The following is a 22542-nucleotide window of genomic DNA, read 5'->3' as shown; positions in this document are numbered from 1 at the left end:
ATAGCACTTGGTACAAAGTTACCTACTCAGTAAATGTTTGTAGAAGAAATTTGTAGCCACCAGCCCATACAGGACCATAAACAGGTATGAAGGTCTTTCATATAAATTTTTAATGCCATTGGTTTTCTTTCTTGCCAAAGTATAAATTGTAGGAATGTTTTTCATCATTTCTCCCTCAAAAACAAAAAGTATGAGATTTATGTGGTGGGTTGCCTGTGTGTTTCTTTCATTTTGTTTTACTTATCACAGTTTCTTCTGAGAAAAGAGCAAATTTCCTTCTACCATGCTGTCCATGTTTGATCTGACTCTATTATTTCAAGTCTTCACTGTTTAATTTCTTTTTCCTAAGGCAACAGGCTATCTGCTGGATCCAGTAACAATAATATCAGCTGTGACTTCTTTTTGTTTAAGCACACTGAGTGCACACCAGGTTTATAGCACGAACTTCAAATGTTACAGCTGGAGCTCAAAATGTTGATTTAATTGAGTCTCAGTGCTATGTGCTGGGAAGCCAATGCCTACAGATATAAGTGTTAGTGTCTGCTGTACCAAGAGGCAGGATACTACCCAAGGTCATGGAAAAGAGATGCCCTGCAGTGAATTGCTAATTGATGGTTTGCGTTCAGCTACACTATTAATTTGTTCTTTAGGAGTCCAAAAAAGAGCAGAATTCAGACATATGAAGATTTCCTAGGCTCAGCAACAAGGACCTCATCTTGTGGTTTGGAAGAAAATGGAATTGTTAAGAGAAACGAAGCAAAGTCTTAGTTATTGCATTTTTTAAAAGCATTTTATTCTTCTATGAATAAATTTTAATTATGAATTTAAGCCTTCATAATTAAAAATCAGTGCTAACACACTTATTTGTCTTACATAACCCACATTTGCCTATTTATTTATTTATTTATTTATTTATTTATTTTGAGGCGGAGTTTCGCTCTTGTTGCCCAGGCTGGAGTGCAGTGGCGCACTCTTGGCTCACGCAACTTCTGCCTCCAAGTTCAAGTGATTCTCCTGCCTCAGCCTCCCGAGTAGCTGGGTTTACAGGCATGTGCCACCACGCCTGGCTAATTTTGTATTTTTAGTAGAGACGGGGTTTCTCCATGTTGGTCAGGCTGGTCTCGAACTCCCAATCTCTGGTGATCTGCCCACCTCAGCCTCCCAAAGTGCTGGGATTACAGGCGTGAGCCACCGCACTCAGCCCACATTTGCCTATTTAACCCACATTTAAACTAATCCAGGTAGGGTGTCATCTTCCCACAGAACTCCTTCTACATCAACGTTCATTTCTACTCAGATGCCCATATATTGCCCTAATACCTACTCTTTTCTACAGCAACGCTTGTTGGCATAATGCTCCCATGGGATGCTTATACATTACAGATAATAATCAAAAAGCTAAAAGTGGCACTCTTATATTAATGACAGATTATTATTAAATATGTTACGATTTCCATAAAGCTTAAGGGCATTTTGGCAAAGACATTTAATGTGTCTTAATTCAAACCCTTAATCACTGTGACCATATAAGACTGGTCGGGAAGATGCTCTGGAGAAGAAAGACATTCCTCTCCTACTCCTCAAGTCACACAATGGCAGGATCATCAGCATTTTACTAAATTACTTGAAGAGAACAGGGAACCCTATCATTACTTAATTTTAAATATTTCACATATTGACGTAATATCTAGCACACTCTCTCTCCCTACCTCCCACTATCCACTTTACAAGTAGCAGTTAAGTAATATTAAAAATATACTCACACCATATCAAGTTTCCTACAGTCTTTCTTCATGACTTTCCTTCTGCCCATAAATCACTTTGTATACCCTTTCCAAGGCCCTTTCTTTTGGATCCACTCAGTTTAACAGCTGAGTCATCTCATCCAGGTCTTCTCCTTCAGGTGTCCTATGTCAAACTGCACAGATATTGACCATAACAGTTATCAGGTTGATTAAAATGATGCCTTTACACATCTTTACACAAGACGGGAAGCAATTGCATACGAGAGTATCCTTACTTTATCCATTGCTATAGCCTTTACAATTTGAAGAGCGTTGGGCAGATATAGTCTGTAGATATTTTTGAAACGTCTTTGGGTTTGTCCCATTTGGGGTTTGCTCAGCTTCTTGAATCTGTAGGTTTTGGGGATCCCCCACCCTGCAAATTTGGTGATATTTTAGCTCTTATTTCTTCAAGTGAACTTGAAATCCCACCCTGTTGGTTTTCTCCTTCTAAGACTCTGATGACGTGTATGTTAGCCTGTAGGTGTAGTCTCACGGGTCCCCAAGATTTTCGTTTCTGCTCTGTCTTTTCTCTGTTGCTCAAGTTGGGTAATTTCTATTTTTCTTTTTCTTTCTTTCTTTTTCTTTTTCTTTTTTTTTCTGAGATGGAGTCCCACTCTTTCAGCCAGGCTGGAGTGCAGTGGTGCCAGTCTTGGCCCACTGCAACCTCTGCTTCCCAGGTTCAAGCGATTCTTGTGCCTCAGCCTCCTGAGTAACTGAAATTACAGGCGTGTGCCGCTATGTCCAGCTAATTTTTGTATTTGTAGTAGAGACGGTATTTCACCATGTTGGCCAGGCTGTTCTCAAACTCTTGACCTCAAGTGATCTGCCCATCTCAGCTTCCCAAAGTGCCAGGATTACAGGTGTGAGCCACCAGGCCAGGCCAACTTCTATTTTTTTTTTTTTTTTGAAGTACAATAAGTACGATTTATTTCTTTTCTCTTTTTTTTGTATTTTTAAATTATACTTTAAGTTCTAGGGTATATGTGCAGAATGTGCAGGTTTCTTACGTAGGTATACATGTGACATGGTGGTTTGCTACACCCATCAAATTGTCATTTACATTAGGTGTTTCTCCTAATGCTATCCCTTCCCCAGCCCCCCACCCCACAACAGGCCCCGGTGTGTGATGTTCCCTACCCTGTGTCCAAGTGTTCTCACTGTTCAATTCTCACATATGAGTGAGAGCATGCAGTGTTTGATTTTCTGTCTTTGTGATAGTTTGCTCAGAATGATAGTTTCCAGTTTCATCCATGTCCCTGCAAAGGACATGAATTCATCCTTTTTTATGGCTGCATAGTATGCCATGGTGTATATGTGCCATATTTTCTTAATCCAGTCTATCACTGATGGACATTTCGGTTGGTTCCAAGTCTTTGCAATCATGAATAGTGCCACAATAAACATACATGTGCATGTGTCTTTATAGTAGCATGATTTATAATCCTTTGGGTATATATCTAGTAATGGGATCTCTGGGTCAAATAGTGTTTCTAGTTCTAGATCCTTGAGGAATCACCACACTGTCTTCCACAATGGTTGAACTAATTTACAATCCCACTAACAGTGTAAAAGCATTCCTATTTCTCCACATCCTCTCCAGCATCTGTTGTTTCCGGACTTTTTAATGATCACTATTCTAACAGGTGTGAGATGGTATCTCATTGTGGTTTTGATTTGCATTTCTCTGATGACCAGTGATGATGAGCATTTTTTCATGTGTCTGTTGGCTGCAGAAATGTCTTCTTTTGAGAAATGTCTATTCACATACTTTGCCCACTTTTTGTTGGGGTTGTTTGTTTTTTTCTTGTAAATTTGTTTAAGTTCTTTGTAGATTCTGGATATTAGGCCTCTGTCAGATGAGTAGATTGTGAAAATTTTCTCCCATTCTGTAGGTTGCCTGTTCACTCTGGTGGTAGTTTCTTTCACTATGCAGAAGCTCTTTAGTTTAATTAGATCCCATTTGTCAATTTTGGCTTTTGTTGCCATTGCTTTTGATGTTTTAGTCATGAAGTCCTTGCCCATGCCTATGTCCTGAATGGTATTGCCTTGGTTTTCTTCTAGGGTTGTTATGGTTTTAGGTCTAACATTTAAGTCTTTAATCCATCTTGAATTAATTTTTGTATAAGGTGTAAGGAAGAGATCCAGTTTCAGCTTTCTACATATGGCTAGCCAGTTTTCCTAGCACCATTTATTAAATAGGGAATCCTTTCCCCATTTCTTGTTTTTGTCAGGTTTGTCAAAGATCACATGGTTGTAGATGTGTGGTGTTATTTCTGAGATCTCTGTTCTGATCCATTGGTCTATATATCTATTTTGGTACCAGTACCGTGCTGTTTTGGTTACTGTAGCCTTGTAGTATAGTTCAAAGCCAGGTAGCGTGATGCCTCCAGCTTTGTTCTTTTTGCATAGGATTGCCTTGGCAATGTGGGCTCTTTTTTAGTTCCATATGAACTTTAAAGTAGTTTTTTCCAATTCTGTGAAGAAAGTCATTGGTAGCTTGATGGGAATGGCATTGAAGCTATAAATTACCTTGGGTAGTATGGCCATTTTCATGATATTGATTCTTCCTATCCATGAGCATGGAATGTTCTTCCATCTGTTTGTGTCCTCTTTTATTTCCTTGAGCAGTGGCTATAGTTCTCCATGAAGAGGTCCTTCACATCCCTTCTAAGTTGGATTCCTAGGTATTTTATTCTCTTTGTGGCAATTGTGAATGGGAGTTAACTCATGATTTGGCTCTGTGTTTGTCTATTATTGGTGTATAGGAATGCTTGTGATTTTTGCACATTGACTTTGTATCCTGAGACTTTGCTGAAGTTGCTTATCAGCTTAAGGAGATTTCAGGCTGAGATGATGGAGTTTTCTAAATATACAATCATGTCATCTGCAAACAGAGACAATTTGACTTCCTCTTTTCCAAATTGAATACCCTTTATTTCTTTCTCTTGCCTGATTGCCCTGGCCAGAACTTCCAACACTATGTTGAATAGGAGTGGTGAGACATGATATATGTGTGCCAATGGTGACAATAACAGCCAGCTCTTTTCTAGATAGAAGTCCTTTTGGACATAGTTTTATACTTGTGTGTAAAGTATAAATAAGTTATCATAAAGTAATAAGCATTTATCATGGCTGTATTAATTACTAGTGTACAAAAAGTGCTGCAGAAATAGTTTAGATAACAATATGTTTCTTGGAGGGGATTAAATGTTCCTTCAGCAAATGTGTTCACTTTCTAAATTGGTTAGTAAACTGTTTTATAGATACCAAGGTATACTTAATGCTGGTCATGGATTAGAGGGTCAAAATTGATAAGTTTGAAAAATTAAAAGACAAAAACAAATAAGGAAATCATGATGTTTTATCGTGGTGATTGTTTCTGGACTAACAGTGGTGAGAGAGGGCATCCCTGTCTTGTGCCAGTTTTCAAAGGAAATGCTTCCAGTTTGTGCCCATTCAATGATATTGGCTGTGGGTTTGTCATAAATAGCTCTTATTATTTTGAGATACGTTCCATCAATACCTAGTTTTTGAGAGGTTTGAGCATGAAGGGCTGTTGAATTTTGTCAGAGGCCTTTTCTGCCTCTATTGAGATCATCATGTGGTTTCTGTCTTCGGTTCTGTTTATGTGATGGATTACCCTGGTGGGAGGAGTCATCACCGTGGTACAGCCCCAAAGGGCAAAAGTCTAGGCTGTCTGCTCAGTCAGTGCTGACATTGTGGAGGAAGTGCTGCAGGTTTTTTCATTGGCAAATATTTGAAGCAGAAGGTTAATGTCTAAAAGTTTTATGTGTTGCTAGGCTACTTTTTCCTGGTCCTTTATCTAGAGACAGCGGAATTTTATTGATTTTGTTGTTGTTGTTAGATCTGCATCCATTGGCCTTTTTGGGTTTCTGGCTTCTTCTGCCCCAAGTGTGGGATATAAGAGGCAAAAATAAAACCCAAGGAAATGACCACTATGTTGTTTCACAGATCCTGTAACCACGGACCACTCTAGCTTTTTCCATTTTCTTATGTTTGTTTAAATATAATATCCATGGATTTTAGTTGTTCTGAATGGGAAAAATAGAGAAAAGTATGTCTCCTTTATGTTCCCAGAAGCAGGCTTTCCTGGTTTTTACAAATAAATGAAACACTTTAATTCTCAATATTACTAAAGTTTTAGATTATAATTTATTAAAAAATACCTGTTAATTTTTATTTCCCTCTGCATTTATAATGACAATAAGAAAGTTTTTAATGTACTGACAACAATTTTTAAAGGTCAGGGGACATTAATGATAATTAAGAGTGCTTTGCAGGGTGTTAGCATACAAAGACATTTTTACGGTTCCACATAACATTGCAAAATGAGTACTGCCAGTGTATATTGCTGGAATAAAATTTGCCTGAAATCAATCAATCAATTTTTTAAAATTTATGTTACCTTCTTATATACTTCTCATTTACACAATAATAAAGAATTGAAATTATTTCAGGGAAAATTATTCACACTTGGATTAAGTAACTCAAAAGTCAAATTAAGTTGTCCTGACATGAGTCTTTGAATAATTCCTTGTGATGTTGAAATCTTATTTCTCAAGTTTTCTGCATTTTCTTGCAAATAGTTTTGCAAGAAACAATTACTTAGATGACAAGAATTACTCATTATTTGGTAGAAATCAATTTGCACTCCTTACATTTCATAAGGAGATGCTTCAGACAGCCAAAAATACTAAATATGAATAGTTAAAGCTATTCCTGAAGTTGACTATTTTCTGAAGAAAACATTTTTATCAGCATATAATCTAAAATATCAAATACAATAATTCTGAAGTCATAATTTCCCGATTTTCCTGTCTACATTTACAAATTAACTTTATTTTCAATTTTATTTTGCAGTCTCAGACTGAATGTCCTCATCATGGATGAATTTATAATTTTAATGAGTTTTTCCCATAAATGCAAATTATAATGTTTTGTACTTCCTCTGGCCTGTAGTAAATAATTACTTTAGGAAAAGGAAAACAAAAAAAACAGGAAAAGAAAACATGATTGAGAAGTTAATCAGATGGATGGCTTAGAAGTGTTTTTATTTCGGGACAGAGGTTATACAGTAACAAGATCCAGTGTGACATATTAATACTTTTCTAGGAGGTGGGTTGGAAGAACAGGCTTAGGTACAGAAGAGTGAATGACCCTATACTAGGGGGGGAATGGGTTTGCATGAGTGGAGTGAAAGTAAAAATGATGGAATGGAATTAGTAATAATTATTAATCCATTTAATTCTCTCAAGATCACATGACGTAGGTACCACAGATGCTTTTGCAGTTGAGGAAACCTAGTCATGCAAAGGTCAAGCAAATTGCCAAAAAACATTCATTTAGTAAGGAGGGAAATCTAGATTTGAACAGAAACCTCTCAATTACAGTCCTTATGCTCAACTGCCTGATTTTCTGTGTTAAATTATATCTCTCTAACATCTTGCTGCAGGTTACACACCTAGTAGGTGACAGAGCAGGGGTTTAAATCAAAGCTGTCTGACTGAAGGGTCCATGCTACCAACATTTACATTGTTTGTTGCTGAAGTAGATATTATTCTACAATTTATTAGACATTATAGAATTTTCTAACAAATAAATATGAGGAATGATTTGAATATGGCAATTTTTTAAAAGTCTAACATTTTGGATTTTCAAAATTATGCACTAAGTGGCTCTTAGAACATATATTTGCCTGGGTGTGGTGCCTCATATCTGTAATGCCAGCGCTTTGGGAGGCCGAGGTGGGCAGGAGAATTGCTTGAACTCGGGAGGCGGAGGTTGCAGTGAGCCGAGATCTTGCCATTGCACTCCAGCCTGGGTGACAGAGTGGGACTCTGTCTCAATAAATAAATAAATAAATACAAACACGTATGTTCCACTAATTTGGTAGTCACAATATATCTACATGTCATAGATTTAGTTTTAATTGTGTACAGAATTAAGCAGGGTCTTCAGTTAATTAGAGAAAAGAAGTGTAACAATCTCATTGTTATCTTAATCCTGGACTAATATGAGTTTTTGCATGTGATGCTAATTTCACCTAGAAGGTACATTTTTAAAGGAATAAATGTGTTTCCTAGATCTAATAATGAACCGACCTCATTTTATGGCAGTCACTTAAGTTGATGAAAAGCTTATTCATGAGAAAGCGACATGGTCTGTTGCTTTAAAACTGATTGAGGAAAGATGGCTGTTTAGGCTTTAAGTGGCCTACAGCTCCTTCCTGGAGCATGCTACCACTCAAGCTCTTTAAACTTGCATGACCAGATTGTAACTCACATATCAAGTGCCCCTGAAGATCCCCTAATGCCTGCTTGCTTCCCTGGGTACCAGGAGAATCGCAGTGAGTCCAGTCTTCAGAATTTGGTCTTGCTTTGTTGTTCCCTAGTGGGAGTCATGTCATTATTTCTGTGCAAACTCTAGTCAAAAACAAAATGCATCACATTTAGTACATTTCCCTGATGTCTCATCATGAAATTTTCATTCCTAAAGAAATTAGAATATCTTGTAACTTCTTTTACTCAAGTATATCTTATAATCTATGACAGTAAAGATAGAGAGGCATGTCCACAGGTCCCTGCTGAACTCCCTCAAAAGGCTTCTTAAAAAATAATTTTTATAAAGCAGGGTTTTGAAAGTTAATCTTTAAAAGTCCTCATTTGTCTTTATCTCAGAATGAGATGTGAATTTGCAGTTGCTTTGCGGCACTGAGATTTACTTACAAGCCTGCATGCCAGCAAAAGTTACTATGAATGATTTATCTGTTGTTTACTCATTACAAAATATGATTTACATCACCTAAAATATTTATTATATTATATGTATATTAAAGAATTTAAGCTTGGCAATGCATTTGGGGAATTCGTTAAATAATATGTATTTTGAAAATTTTGTTCTATGAGATAAAATGATCCTCAGGATTTAGTTAAACATGAGATCTCTTAGTCCATTTGGGCTGCTGTAACAGAACCATAGACTGGGTATCTTATAAACAACAGAAATTTATTTCTTACAGTTCCGGAGGCCGGGAAGTCCAAAAGCAAGACAGCTTTCAGATTTGATGTCTAGTGAAGACCCACTTCCTAGCTCATAGACAGCTGTCTTCTTGCTATAACCTCACAAATCAGAAAAGAGGGAGGGAGTTCTCTAGGGTCTCTTTTTTAAGGGCACCAATCTCATCATGACTTAATCACCTCCCAAAAGTCCCCACCTCCTCATACCATCACATACAAGTTTTGGGGGCACATAAATATTTCATCTACAGCACTTATTTTGTAACTTAAGTTTAGAATAGGTAGTTCACTCAGGGATTCAAAGATCAAAAAGTACAAAAAGAGAAATTATGAAACGCTTTTTCCCATCCTTAACCCCAAGCGTCCAGTCCTTACATTGCCCCCAACCCAAACACATGTAACAACTGCTCTTGGTCTTTCTGTGTTCTTGAAGTTTATCTTGTAGTATTTCAGGGTTTCTCTATGCATATTCCCCCAAATATGGTTACATAGCTTCTCATGTTTTCCTCTTTCATATCTAACAATTTTCTTCCTATAGGTTTTGGTAATTTCTTTTCAGTTTATTCCTATTCTATCCTTTTCATTAATGTTTAAAATGAGTTTCCTCTTCCGTCATATCTTCTACTCAGATGTTATTTTATACATGAATGCTGCTCATTTCTGTACATCAATTCCATACCTTACTAATTCAATTCTGTTTTTTAAAATAGTTCTTTTAAGTGATTTTCTTTACTGTTCCTTGTACAATGACCATATCCTATACAAACAACATTTTGCCTTTTTAAAATTCTCTATACCCTTAATTTTTTCTTCTGCCAAATAGCACTGTTATCAATATCTATAAAACATGAAATAGTGAGATTCTGATCTTGTTGCTTATTTAAGTGTAACTATAATGTTTCTCTTAAAAACATAATTCTAGAACTTGGGGTGACTCTGGTGTGTTTTTATCATGTTTAGGTGTTACTTTTTGAAGTATGAGTATTTTATTTTTTCAAATGTTTTTAAATTCATAGGTCTATTAATATAGTGAATTAGTTTATTATGTTTTCTAATATTAAATAATTCATACGATACTAGAATAAACCCTATTTTATAACTTAAATTTTGTCCCTCCAAATTCCTATGTTGATGTCCTAACTTCCAGTACCTCTGACTGTGACATAATTTGGAAATAGGGTCATTTCATATATAATTAGTTAATATAAGGTCATACAGTAAGTAGGGTGAACCCCTAATCCAATGTGACTGGTGTCCTTATAAAAAGGGGAAATTTGAACACAGATATTCCCAAAGAGAGAGCAGCATGTGAAAGTAAAGTCAGAGATTAGAGTCATGCATTGACAAACCAAAGGAGGCCACAGATTGTCAGCAACCCACCGGAAGCTAGGACAGAGGCATAGAGTAGATTCTCCATGAGAGCTTCAGAAGGAACCCACCTTTGTCACACCTTGATCTCAAACTTCTAACCTCTAAAGCCATAAGACCATAAATTTCTGTTGATTAAGCCACTCAGTTTCTGATACTTTGTTATAGCAGTCTTAGGAAACTAACATTCAATAATTGATTATTGTATGATTAGTACGGTATTTGGATTATGTTGCCTGATATTTTATTTAGGAGTTTTCATCAATATTCTTGCACACATTTAGTGTGCTATTTGCTTGATTTATTTTGCTGTTTTTCGCTTCACAATCTCACTATATCCTGGTGTATATGTGTCCCGTGGTACCTTTTCATTTCTGCCTCCTCTGGGTCAATGCTGTGTCCATTCTCCCCAGAGCAGCTTCTGTGCTGGTCTTTGCCATGTTGGCCATCGTATGTCACAGAAGATATTTATCTCCTAGATTTGCTGAATAGTGAGGTTTTTTAAATATTAATTTAAAAGAAATGATATCTGAGAGAAAGAGGAAATTGCCGCCTTATATAGTCATTTTCATTCTGGTAATACTGGCCCAAACTTTTAAGCTTTTAGAATAATTTTTTTCCTGATAGAAAAAAACTTCCTAATCTCCATATGTACCACATAATTATGCTAGTGGGCCATATAACATGATAGCTAACAGTGTAGACCCTAATGTCAAATTGCCTTGATTCTATCGTTTATGTGTCTTGTGACTTTGAACAAGTTATTTAAGCTCTCTTAACAAATTTTCTCCTTCTAAGGAAAAAAAAAAAGTTTCCCCATCTGACAAATGGGCATGATCACCTACACTCTTCATCAGATAGTTGTGAGGAACAAAGTACATAAGGTGGGTGAGAAGTTTAGAATAGTGCCTGGCCAAAGGTGTGTGCTTCATAATTAATACTTGTCATTGTCATCCTTTGTCTGTGTTACTGTGTTATGGGACGGGTTACTGCTCCTGGAGCTTACTATGCTCTCATGTCACAAGAGAAGACTGGGATCTGGTGTGCATGGGACCTGGGCATGTTTCTGAAATTTCTAAACCTTTTTCTTGATCTTTAAAGTAGAGTCAGATGACTGACATGAGGGCTCAATTAAGAAACTGACTTGGGTATGTTGCATATAGGGGTGCTCCATTTACTTTCATTATTATGATGATTCATTATAATTTTATGTTGATTACTCTGCATGGAATACTTATATAGTTGCAACATTTTTACTTTTCAGGACCCAACTCAAATAGCACCTTCAATGTGAAACCCACTTTTATACAGAGTCACAATGTGCCACAGTAGTGGTCTCTTGGTATTTCAGCTGCATCACTGTTAATAGCATACTGAGTTGTCCATATGACTGCCCTTCCCACCAAAAAGTACATTGCTTGTGGGACAGGGCTAAGCTTACTGGATCAATTTCCGCGATCAGTTTTGAATGAGTGAAGCAGGGTGATAGCAACCTAGAGTTGCATTATATTCAATGTTGTTTGAAAGCTTGTTTTTTTTAGCTTCAGTTTAAAAAAATTTAAACAGAAAACATGTTTGCTATCAAGTCCACAGAATCTGTTAGGGAGGGCCAGTGAGTGGAAGTTTGTAAACTAAACAAAAATTAAATAGTTGCTAAGATTTATGTTACATATTTTATGACCATGGCAAAACATTGCATAAAACATTGGGTGAGTCTATTTTCCTGAAAGTTGTACTCAAATAGTAAATGTAACAGATTAAGTATTCCTCATATAACACTTTTAGTGGTTCTTCAATGTAGATGGCAAGTTGATGGCCAAGTTTTCAAAACACAGTCTGGCCTAGTTATAATGTGTAAAACAGCCAAATAGGAAAAATAAAATCTCCAAGGCAGTTTTTCTCAGTTTGTTCTATGAAAAACCATGATCTTGTGATTTCTTCAGTAGAACAGGTGGTCTTTGGAGGTTAACAACACACATTTATGTGTTAATTATAGCGTGAAGCCCTGACATAATGCAACTGGTCTAATTTTGTTTAACTTAAAATTTTCCAGACTTGTTTAACTATGAAACTTATTTTCCTGGTGGCACCTCATATTGTCCCACAGAAGTAGAATTTTAGGAAAATCACTTTGGGAAACATTCTACAGTGGGGTTGATTACAGCATCTTGACACTAGGAGCACCACAGCTTGATGATGGTTGCAAGCAAGATCTACCCAGTTCATTTATTTTTCTTTTATAAAGATAATATGAAGGATCAGTAGAGAACTCTTAAATTCACAATATGTAATAAACTACCCCAAACCAGTACATAAGTAGTGAACTGAAGCATTTATACACACACCGGCATATAAATGCTGTGTACATGAGAATAGGCAACATGGCGAAACAAAGAATACGAAACATTGGCCGGGCATGGTGGTATGCACCTGTGGTCCCAGCTACTCAGGAGGCTGAGGTGGAAGGATTGCTTGAGCCTAAAAGAGGGAGGTTGCAGCGAACCAAGATCATGCCACTGCAACTCCAGCCTGGATAACAGAGCCAGAGCCTGTCTTAAAAATAAATAAATAAATAAACTATACCCATGCAACAAGTATATGCACAGGCATATACAAAGCTTCAAAAACTACACATAATTACTCTTACTTCTGATTTTTCCTCACCATACAGATGGTTTTTCAACACCTCCCCCTATTAGGAAAACAGACTGTTCTTATCCTTTTGAGGTTATTCTTTTTGTAGGCAGCAGTGTAGTGAAAACTTCCTGAAGCCAGACTTTCTGAATTAAAATTCCAGCTCTGACAATTGCATGTTGTATGACCTCAGACCAGTCACTGTGCCTGAAGTCTCTGATCTAATGTAATAGTGCTTATAACAGAGATTTTTTGACAGATTTGGATACATTTACATTTATAATTTCACATGGCACGTAGTAAGTGTTATAAGAGTTTGCTGTTATTATTTTCTTTCTCTATAGTTTGCTTGTATATCGTCTGCTAGTCACCTTCAGTATCATCCATACAGGATTTGCTCTTCCTTCTTATCAAGATTTTTACTTTATTTGTAGAAAATTATCAGTATCTCCTTGGAATTGTTAATTTAATGCCTGCTATGTACCAGTCACTATGGTTAGTTCTTGGGATACACATTATGGTGAACATAAATGACCTTAAAAGAATGTGCAGTCTGGCAAAGGATACAAACAGGCACACAGATAACTGTCTTATGAAAGTCTTCATCAACGATGTGTATAGCTCTGGCCATCCATGTTCTTCATTAAATACTGGACAAATCAATGTATTTCTAAAAACACAGGAGTTTCGCTCTCTTTCATCTGCAAATTCCTTGCTGCCACAGCCTATTTCCTGAGAATGCCCTTGCAGAGGGGATGACATATGTAAACTGACTTAGTTTTGGAGAAGTACAGCTTCCAGGTTGTCATATCTGAAAAGGTCTTTCCACCTCTGAAGGAACTGTCACTTTGCTGGCTACTCCATGAAGTGTAGCAGAATGAGGTTTTATGATAAAAAGGATTTTAACCATTTGATGCCCACATAGTAATAGACATTACTGGCACATGGAGTATTCAGTAGTGCACCTTACATTTTGTCTTTATGGACTCCTTTCTGTGCCTCAATAACAGCACACCAGCCTATCTATTATATCTTAAAATTGAATAATCTTTAAAAACCTCTATTTTTTTATTTTCCTAGTTGGTGACTGCATTATTCTGCTTTCCATTTTATGTTTTTATCCCCACTAGGATATGGGTAAACCTAAATTTCTTTCTTTTTACTAAATCACTCAGAATAAAAGTAAAACCTGGTTTAAAATGAGATCTACATCCACTGGAATAAGGTAGCCCTTACATCTTTAAACGGGAAAAAAAACCTCATAGCTTTCCTATTAAATAGCATTAGGGCAAAGAAAAATACGTTGATTATCATCTCCACGATTCAAATGCAAATTTCCAAATGTAAAAAATGTCTTGCTTCTTTTTTGGTGATTAGTGGGAAATTAAATTCTGAAACTGGGGCAGGGGAAGGCATGTTTTTATATTCATAGGAGACAGCAATTTTTCCAGCAGAGAAGCAGAAGACAACAACTGCAACGAAGGTGCTACTACCACAATCAGGTAGTTCAAAGCTGCCATGACAGAGGAGCACTTAGAATGTTCCTGTGGTCCAAAGGCATGTTTTAGGCGTATATTCATAGAAAGGAAAACATGGCTCGGGGGCTAAAAATTGAGGCTGTGAGGTTAAGACGTCTGTGCAAAATAATGACGATGAAACAGATGCTGATTGACCAGGTTTGTTAATTTTACAAAGGAAAATTGGACATCAAGTAAAATATTGACCAGGATCACCAACTTCCTTTGTATTTATCTTTACCTTTTGTGAGGGATTCACTTGTAGGTTCATTGTTTGATGAGGGACAACTCAGTGAGAGTTTCATTTGGGAATATGAAATTATAGAACAAGGGAGAGACTGTGGCAGAAAGAGGTGTTTATGCACAGATTTGGGAACCATATGCTTGTTGGTGATAGATGAAGAATGCTATTCTCCAAGGAGTGAAGACATTGCGAGCTAAACCTTCAGAAACTGATGATGATCAAGGAAAAGAAAAGATAAATAAAAGAAGAAATCAGCAGAAGACAGATTTTTTTATTAGTTCTGTTTCTGCTCTTAATTTAGGATGTACATGAAAATAAGTCTTTTTGGTTTGTCATATAATTCTTCTCTAGTATGCTTCTATTAGTTAGTGTCTTGAATAATCTAGCACAATAGAACTACATAAACTAATTTCCTAATTATTTTACCACTTAACAAACCTGGGTAGAGACTTGTGGAATGTGCTAAAAGACATACATTTTTCTTAGCATTACTTTGTATAGAATTATGTTTTCAATTGAGTTAATTAGCTTTTATGATTGGAAAGAAACTTGAATTAAATATGTCTTTAAACACTTTTTATAAAGCTATATATTCAGGAAGTTCTCTATAATCTATGGTACAAAAGAAAAGCTCATTTGCTTCTATGTTAATTTAGTGGTGTAAACTATAAGCTGGGAAATTTAAAAAGACTCAACTGAATGAATACCCCAGGGTTTCTTTTAAATGTACATAAGTACACAATAAATCTTGACCATCTAAATGTTCTGACGTTTTTATTCAAAATAGTTTGCTGTAAGTCTTACGTTACGAAGCTTACTTATAGTGAGTTAGATAATCTCAAGACAATTATACTGGTCCAATTACTGCTGTGTGTATTGCTTCTGAATTGTTATTTAGAGACTGGCGATCAGACAAGGACCATTGCTTTATATGACAAGAACTAAGCCATTATCCAATAAAAATTTATCTCCTTATTTCCTATTTACTTTGCCTAGAATTGTTATTTATACCAAACCACTCTTCTCTTTTTTGAGTGTAAATGTAATTAGGTGACTATTAAAATATATAAAGAAGGGTTCATAGGTCTATTTATCTTAGCTGAAAATTCAGATCTATAAACTAGGAAGAAAGACAATTCGAAAATTCAGAGAGTAAATGATGTATACTACTGGACAAAGCAAAGTTAGGCTGGGCATGTGGCTATCACCAGCCCAGAAAGCTGTTTCACAATGAAAAGATTATTTAAGCTTTTGGTTTCTGTTTTTGAAAAATAACCACTTTTCTTTTATCCACCGTATAGAACTATAGCAATTATTTTAAGTGAAAAAATGAGTGACAGTCTGTAAAACAGACAAGGAAAAACAACCTTGAGTGGATCCATCTTACAAATTCTCCATGTATCCTTTGCGCAACACTCCATAGGAAGCCCAGTGGAGATACAGAGTTAAATGAAATAGTCCTTACTGTTAGACTTAAAAATCGAAACCAAAATTTAATTTGAGTCACACAGAGAGCAAAAACACTGACTCATTGGTCCAGGACAAACTTAGATTATGTTTCTTGTCCCTGCTTTGTTATTAGGACCACCCCCATTACACTCTCTCCTGTGTCCTGGTTTGGCTGGTTTGGCTGATAAATCAGGTGGCCACCCAAACACTTCTATGGCAATGGGGAATGCCTCTCAGGCTCCTTCCTTTCCCCAGCAAATGCTTCTGCTGATTATCTTCTAGATTATCTTCTAGATAAGATTTGCAAACCTGGGTGCGCACTGGCATCATCTACTGAGGTTTTGTGCTCAGACTCCAGCAACCAAGATTCCCATTGAATTGGTTGTAGGTGGGGACTTGTGAGAAGTGACTTTTTTCTTCTTCTTATGTTAAGCTCAGCAAGTGATTCAGATGTGCAGTCAGGACTGAGATCCACTCTTTGTGTTGAAGTAGCCCAGACAGATGGACAAGCAGAAGCTTCAGAATTAGAAAATCTGTACCAAGCACTAAGAGCTTCCACTGGGCTGCTCTGTGGCTTCAAGCTGATTCTGGAACTCTGAGCCTCAGTTGTCTGAACTGTCTGTAAAGTGAGAATGGGAGTATCCCTCCTCAGGACTATTCTTAGGTTTAAAGTAATGTGTGTATGATTGATGGGAAATAGGAGACATCAGTAAATCCCAGAACCATCCCAGATGGGAGCCTGGCCCCGTGCAGGAAAGGGGTAAAGCTCCTGTGGTCACAGAGTACTTCCAGAAGTGTGACTCCCATGTCCCTAATATGCAAAAAAAAAAAAGTCTTCTTTTTCCTGTACGATGACTTTTCTTGATATTCTTGACCTGGAAAGTGAGTTTGCATATATCTGACTGCCTCAGTTATTCAGGACTTCAGAGGAAAGGGAGTGTATTAGTCTGTTCTCATGCTGCTAATACAGACATACCAAAGACTGGTAATTTATAAAGGAAAGAATTCTAATGGACTCACAGTTCCACATGGCTTAGGAGGCCTCACAATCATGGCAGAAGATGAAGGAAGAACAAAGGGACATCTTACATGGTGGCAGGCAAGAGAGAGCTTGAGTACAGGAACTCCCGTTTATAAAACCATCAGATCTTGTGAGACTCATTCACTATCACAAGAATGGCACAGGAAAGACCTGCCCCTGTGATTCAATTACTCCCCACTGGGTCCCTCCTGCGACACATGGGAATTATGGGAGCTACAATTCAAGTTGAGATTTGGATGGGGACACAACCAAACCATATCAAGGAGATTTATTTAGGTTTTCCAGATATAAAGACTAGTAGAATTAGCATCACTTATCAACAATTGCTGAGGATGAGTGCATGATTAGATGTTAAGAGAAATTTTATCACTAACAAGTGGTGTAACTTAGAGACATTTAACTCTTCTCTGTCTGAGTTTCCTCATCAAACTTAGAGCCATATATTTTTTTTCCTTCTGGTGCTATATTTAAGTTTTTCTGTGTATTCATTGCTATGAACTAAGAAGAAAAATAGGACATAATACCCTCTGCAGACAAGAAATTTAAAACTAAAAAACCTTAAGTAGTTATAACAATAGGTAAAATAACAATAGTAGTAATAGAAATATACTCTAGAAGGATTAACAACATAGAATTGGTCTTTAGGGAAAATGACAAGTCCACACTGGTTTGGATGGATTTCCAGTTTCAGCTACTGGATGAGCTACAATCACTTATTTCGACATTTATTGTGATTTTGGGGGTATACTTTGTTGCCTATGGCAATTTGCTTTAGTCTTTAGACTATCAAACAAGTAACTCGCTGCAGAGTATAGAAAATTCATTTGCTGTTACCCAGTGTAGACAATTTCTTATTCATCGAAATTCCACCTATCTTGTTTTTAAAAGTCTTCTCTTTCTTGATTAACTTATACAAGGGTTTCACAAACAAGCTGCATTTGAGAAAGTAATATGGTGAGAGATAATTCATCTAGAATGACTCATTTTAGAAATATAACCTTAGGATCATATTAGCATGCTTCCTCATTTAATCACATTTTGTCTTTTACCTGTTGATATTGTACTTCGGGACATTTAGAGGGGACTAGAAGGGAGACTGAAAAGATGAAGAACATTAAATCCAGAATAGGGAATCTGATGAGGGGAATCCCTGTTAGAAACCTTGTCCCACACTTCCTCTCCCACTGTTCTGTGCTGTTTCCACACAATCAGATTGAAAAAGCAAAACAATCGCCTCTTCTCGAAAGTGTAGAGCACATAAACAGGAAGGAGAGCCAAGCTGACGCAAAGGCTGCTGTTTATTGCAGTTCTGTTTTATTGCAGTTATTAAACCATTAACAATTAGATAAATATTATAAGTGAAATATCATTCCTAAGTGTCACAGCTATCATTTACTCTAGGTTCACAAAATAGACTAATATTTCATTTATTGCATACATCTAGAAACATACCACAAACAACTATCCATTTTATTCACTTTTGACAGTGAACCTAATAGAAACCATTAGTAACAGTAACAACAAAAATTCTTGTTGAAATAAATAGAAGAATCCTTTTATAGTCTATAATAAATGTCACTAAATGGTGGGGATCAGAATACAAAAGGAAACGAATGAAAAAGCCAGGCTTTCTTAAGAGTCATAAAAGTGGGTCTCAAAGGCTCATTTTCTTAAAAGACATAAAGAGATCAAAACATCCAAAAAATAAAAATTATTGAGAAAAATATATTGTAGGCTTGTTGATTTTAAAAGATGGGCAGGATTATGAAAAGAATGAAATTATTTGGGGGGAAACTGGGCTTCACTTCTGCAAAAGATACTATAGATAGTTATTCTGTATGGAAGGGCTTTCTATTGCAAAGAATAACCGTTCTTCAAAAGCCTATCTATACCAAACCATGAAGCATTCTCACCAGGGTGGCCAGTAGCATCTCAGCAATCAATTCGTTCTTTCTTCGTCCTCCACAGCTCCTCCATTTTGAGCTCAGTATCGTGTCATAATGGGCTGAGGTAGGCTTTACAGTTTAGTTCAGAACAACTAGATACTCCTTCCCTCCTGCAAATTATATTGATTTTCTCAGAAAATATGTGAGAAAAAGTTTATCTCCATTTGGCTGATAAATGGACTGACATTGAGACAGAATAAATCACTCCTCCAACATCCATGCCAAAATGTACTAGAAGTGACAGTAGAACTGATATACTAATGGGTTTAGAGTCCTCATACGCCTTCTATTCCCTCTTTTTGTTCCTTGGTTAATCAGCACCCTATTTCTTTCAAGTGGTGAGACCCAACTCACAGTGGTTTAACAGAGGACAAAACCGAAATAAATCAACCAACACAAGGGCAATGCATTGAATTACCATCCCCGGAGAAAGGGCAGATGTGGAGCGGCTCTCAGGCTCAGCTGGTTCCAGGAACTCAGCTCCTGTCTCCAGCTCTCTCTTACTCTTCATCTTGATCTCTATCATACGTCTCTACCTCTGTTCATCTCTCTCCATCTCTTCTTCTTTGTATGCTGTTCCCAGTCTCTTCACTGATTATGGAGACAATTTCTTCTACTAAAGGGTCCATTGTTTTCTCTATAAAGTAGGAAATAGGGCTATCTGCAGCTTTAAGTGTAAATAATCTGAACCTGGAAGCTTCGAAGGACAGGGAGGTCACTTTTATGACCTATAAATCACAGGGAACAACTTTCCCAACTTGGGTCAGGGGTTACCTACTATTCTCTGTGTTGATACTCGTGGGTTTGGGTGAGTTTCTAGAGCTTGAAATGGGGAAGGGTGGCTTTCTTTGTAAGAAAAAGATAAATTGAGAAGGTAGAAAGAACAGTTGTTGACCTCAGCCCTTGATTTTCTTTTTAACTTAGTGATTTTAAACACTAAAACTAAAGACAGAATTTGTTTTTAAAAGTGACTGTTAGATATACTTTCTAAGCCCAAGAACCATGTTCTTGTTTTTCACTGGCACAATCAAATATATAGCAATAATCCAGAGAATGCAGTAAAATAAATGTACCGAATGGCATCCCACTCCACAATAAAACTAGAGTTTTGCTGAAACTCTGCCAAGTAGGAATTCTTCTTTACCGCTGTATAGCAATTTTATTTTCCAGACCTGTGTCCAGAATGCAAAAATTATTTACCAGAGGTTGAAATTCCTACTATAAAAAGGGAACATTTGGTTACTTGCAGTAAGTACAGGAGTAGGAGTGAGTGGAGAGTGATGTACCTACCGTTTCAGATAAAGAGGTTTGGTTAATGACGATATTAACCACTTTTTTTGCTCATTATCCCATTTATTCATCATTCCCATTCCTCATTCCCATTGTACCCTCTGTCCTTTTCTATTTCCCTGGATATATTTTTTCTCCGCTCACCAAATATTCTGTTCTTTTCTTTATCCTATGACATCTAAATTCCTTTACCCAGCTCATGTGCTTATCCTGGCTAAGTGACAATCAAGAAAGTCTGTGCCACTATGGATGATGTCATAGACTTTCACTGGAATGGAAATCTAGATTTCAAAAGAAAGCTTTATAATTATCAGACTTCTAAGAAGGAACAAAAGTGTATGTTGAAAAATGCATGTAGAAAAATGCTGATTTGTTGTATTTTTTTGTTTTGATACTTTTGACATTGAAAGGGGCTATTTAAAACAAGGAAAACAAGTAATGAAATAATTTTGGAAAACAGTAAAAGTCTGGACACTGTAGAGAAGGATCAAGCCTAGTGTTTTCTTAAAGGGAAAAGAACAGAAGTTAATAGACATGTCTCCTGCAGGAGAACCTCAACCGTATGTACTCATGAATCACCATGCTGATTCAAAAATAGAATAGATCGTGTTTGTCATAAATGGAAAACAACAAATGTAATAAGGAAAATGTAATTTTGTAAATAAGCAAATTAGTATCACTGAATTGTTTGTTAGTCGCATGTATTATTCTATAAAGCCAATGTTTCTCTCTTAAAATATTTCTAAAAGCCACTGGTAGTGGTGGGGGAAGTAGGCAGGCAGGGAGCAACTTATAATTATCCCAGGGAGCATACTAGATTCCTTTCATTTTTCTGGTTCTTATTCAAAATACACTCTTATTAAGGGGGTCATGATAATCCACCCTGGCTGCAGAATGGTTCTCTGTATCTCAGCAACATCCAACTTTCTCTTAATTGTGTTTTTTGATCTAGTATTCCCCAACAATAACTCACCAACTTAGTCTATTTGTTGCTACTTTTGCTCATGTATGCCCTTCCATTCAACATTTGCCAGCTGCTTTGTTTTTTTCAGTTACAGCAATGGCATCTGGGCCAACAAGTTTAATAATATAATCCTTAATGAGTGATTTCTTCTCAGTTTCTTCCCGGTAAAATCTAGAGATAAGGTTAATATTATAGAGCTGTTTCTAGCTGATAGATTATTCCAACTTAGTAATCTTAGTAATGTCTATCACTTTTTTTATGCCAGTGTGGAAAAATGGTGTTGGGACATAAAGATGGAAATTCGTGCCTTTTCTCCATAGCATCACATATGTCCATTGAGTCAATTATCATACTAGGCATTTCCACTACTTTCTTTCAGTGTTGGTTCACAATAAGGAACATTTTCTGTGGCCATTAATATTTTCTTATGTTTAACTCTGAAAATTAATAAGCAATTGACCTCAATAATAATGGCATGGATTGAACTTCTGAAATTAGAAAATTGTGACCTATTACTCTAGAACTTTCTTAAAAGAGAGCCAGGTATACAAAAATGTGCTTTTTATAAACAATGCAAAATAGTATCCCCAAATACTGTCTCTTTATAAACAGTGCTAAAGATTTTAAAATAAAATTACTTAGTTATAAAATCAAAATAATGTTAGTTCTTAAAACTAAATTGATTTACTCTTGATCATTCTCTTTTTTTCTGCCTTTTGGGGTTTAATTTGTGCTAAGTGATTAAATAGTAATCTCTCTTTTCTTGATATCAGTTATAATTTACAATGTTTTTTAACAGTTTCCACTTTCAAGAACATCTTAACATTTAGTGTAAAAATAAACAGATTTTTATATCTGTATTTTGTAATCCGATTCAGTAACTTTCCATTAGAAATTACTTTGCTTGACTAATGTGTATGTGTGTGTGTGTGTGTGTGTGTGTGTATTTCCAAATAACTCCTCAAATATTGCAATTTCAGTGAAGACAATTGAAAGCATTATATCTGACACTTCAGCAAATTCTCAATATTAAAAGCATTTTAATAGCATTAGTTTCCATATTTTCATGTTATCTATGAAAAGACAGCTCAGAGCTGAGAAAGAAAGAAGTTTTAGGTCACACTGGAAAGAGGCACTGAAAATTATTGAAACAGAAGAAAGGGGTTCTGGAATTTGGTACAGAGTGCAAGTTACATGCCCCATACGAAGTCATTAATAGCTGAGTGATTGCACCACACAGCTGGTATGCTAGATACTAATGTCA

This window comes from Homo sapiens, chromosome 13 (genome assembly GCF_000001405.40).
Source record: "Homo sapiens chromosome 13, GRCh38.p14 Primary Assembly".
In the NCBI taxonomy this organism is placed as follows: domain Eukaryota; kingdom Metazoa; phylum Chordata; class Mammalia; order Primates; family Hominidae; genus Homo; species Homo sapiens.
This window is presented reverse-complemented; position numbering follows the sequence as displayed.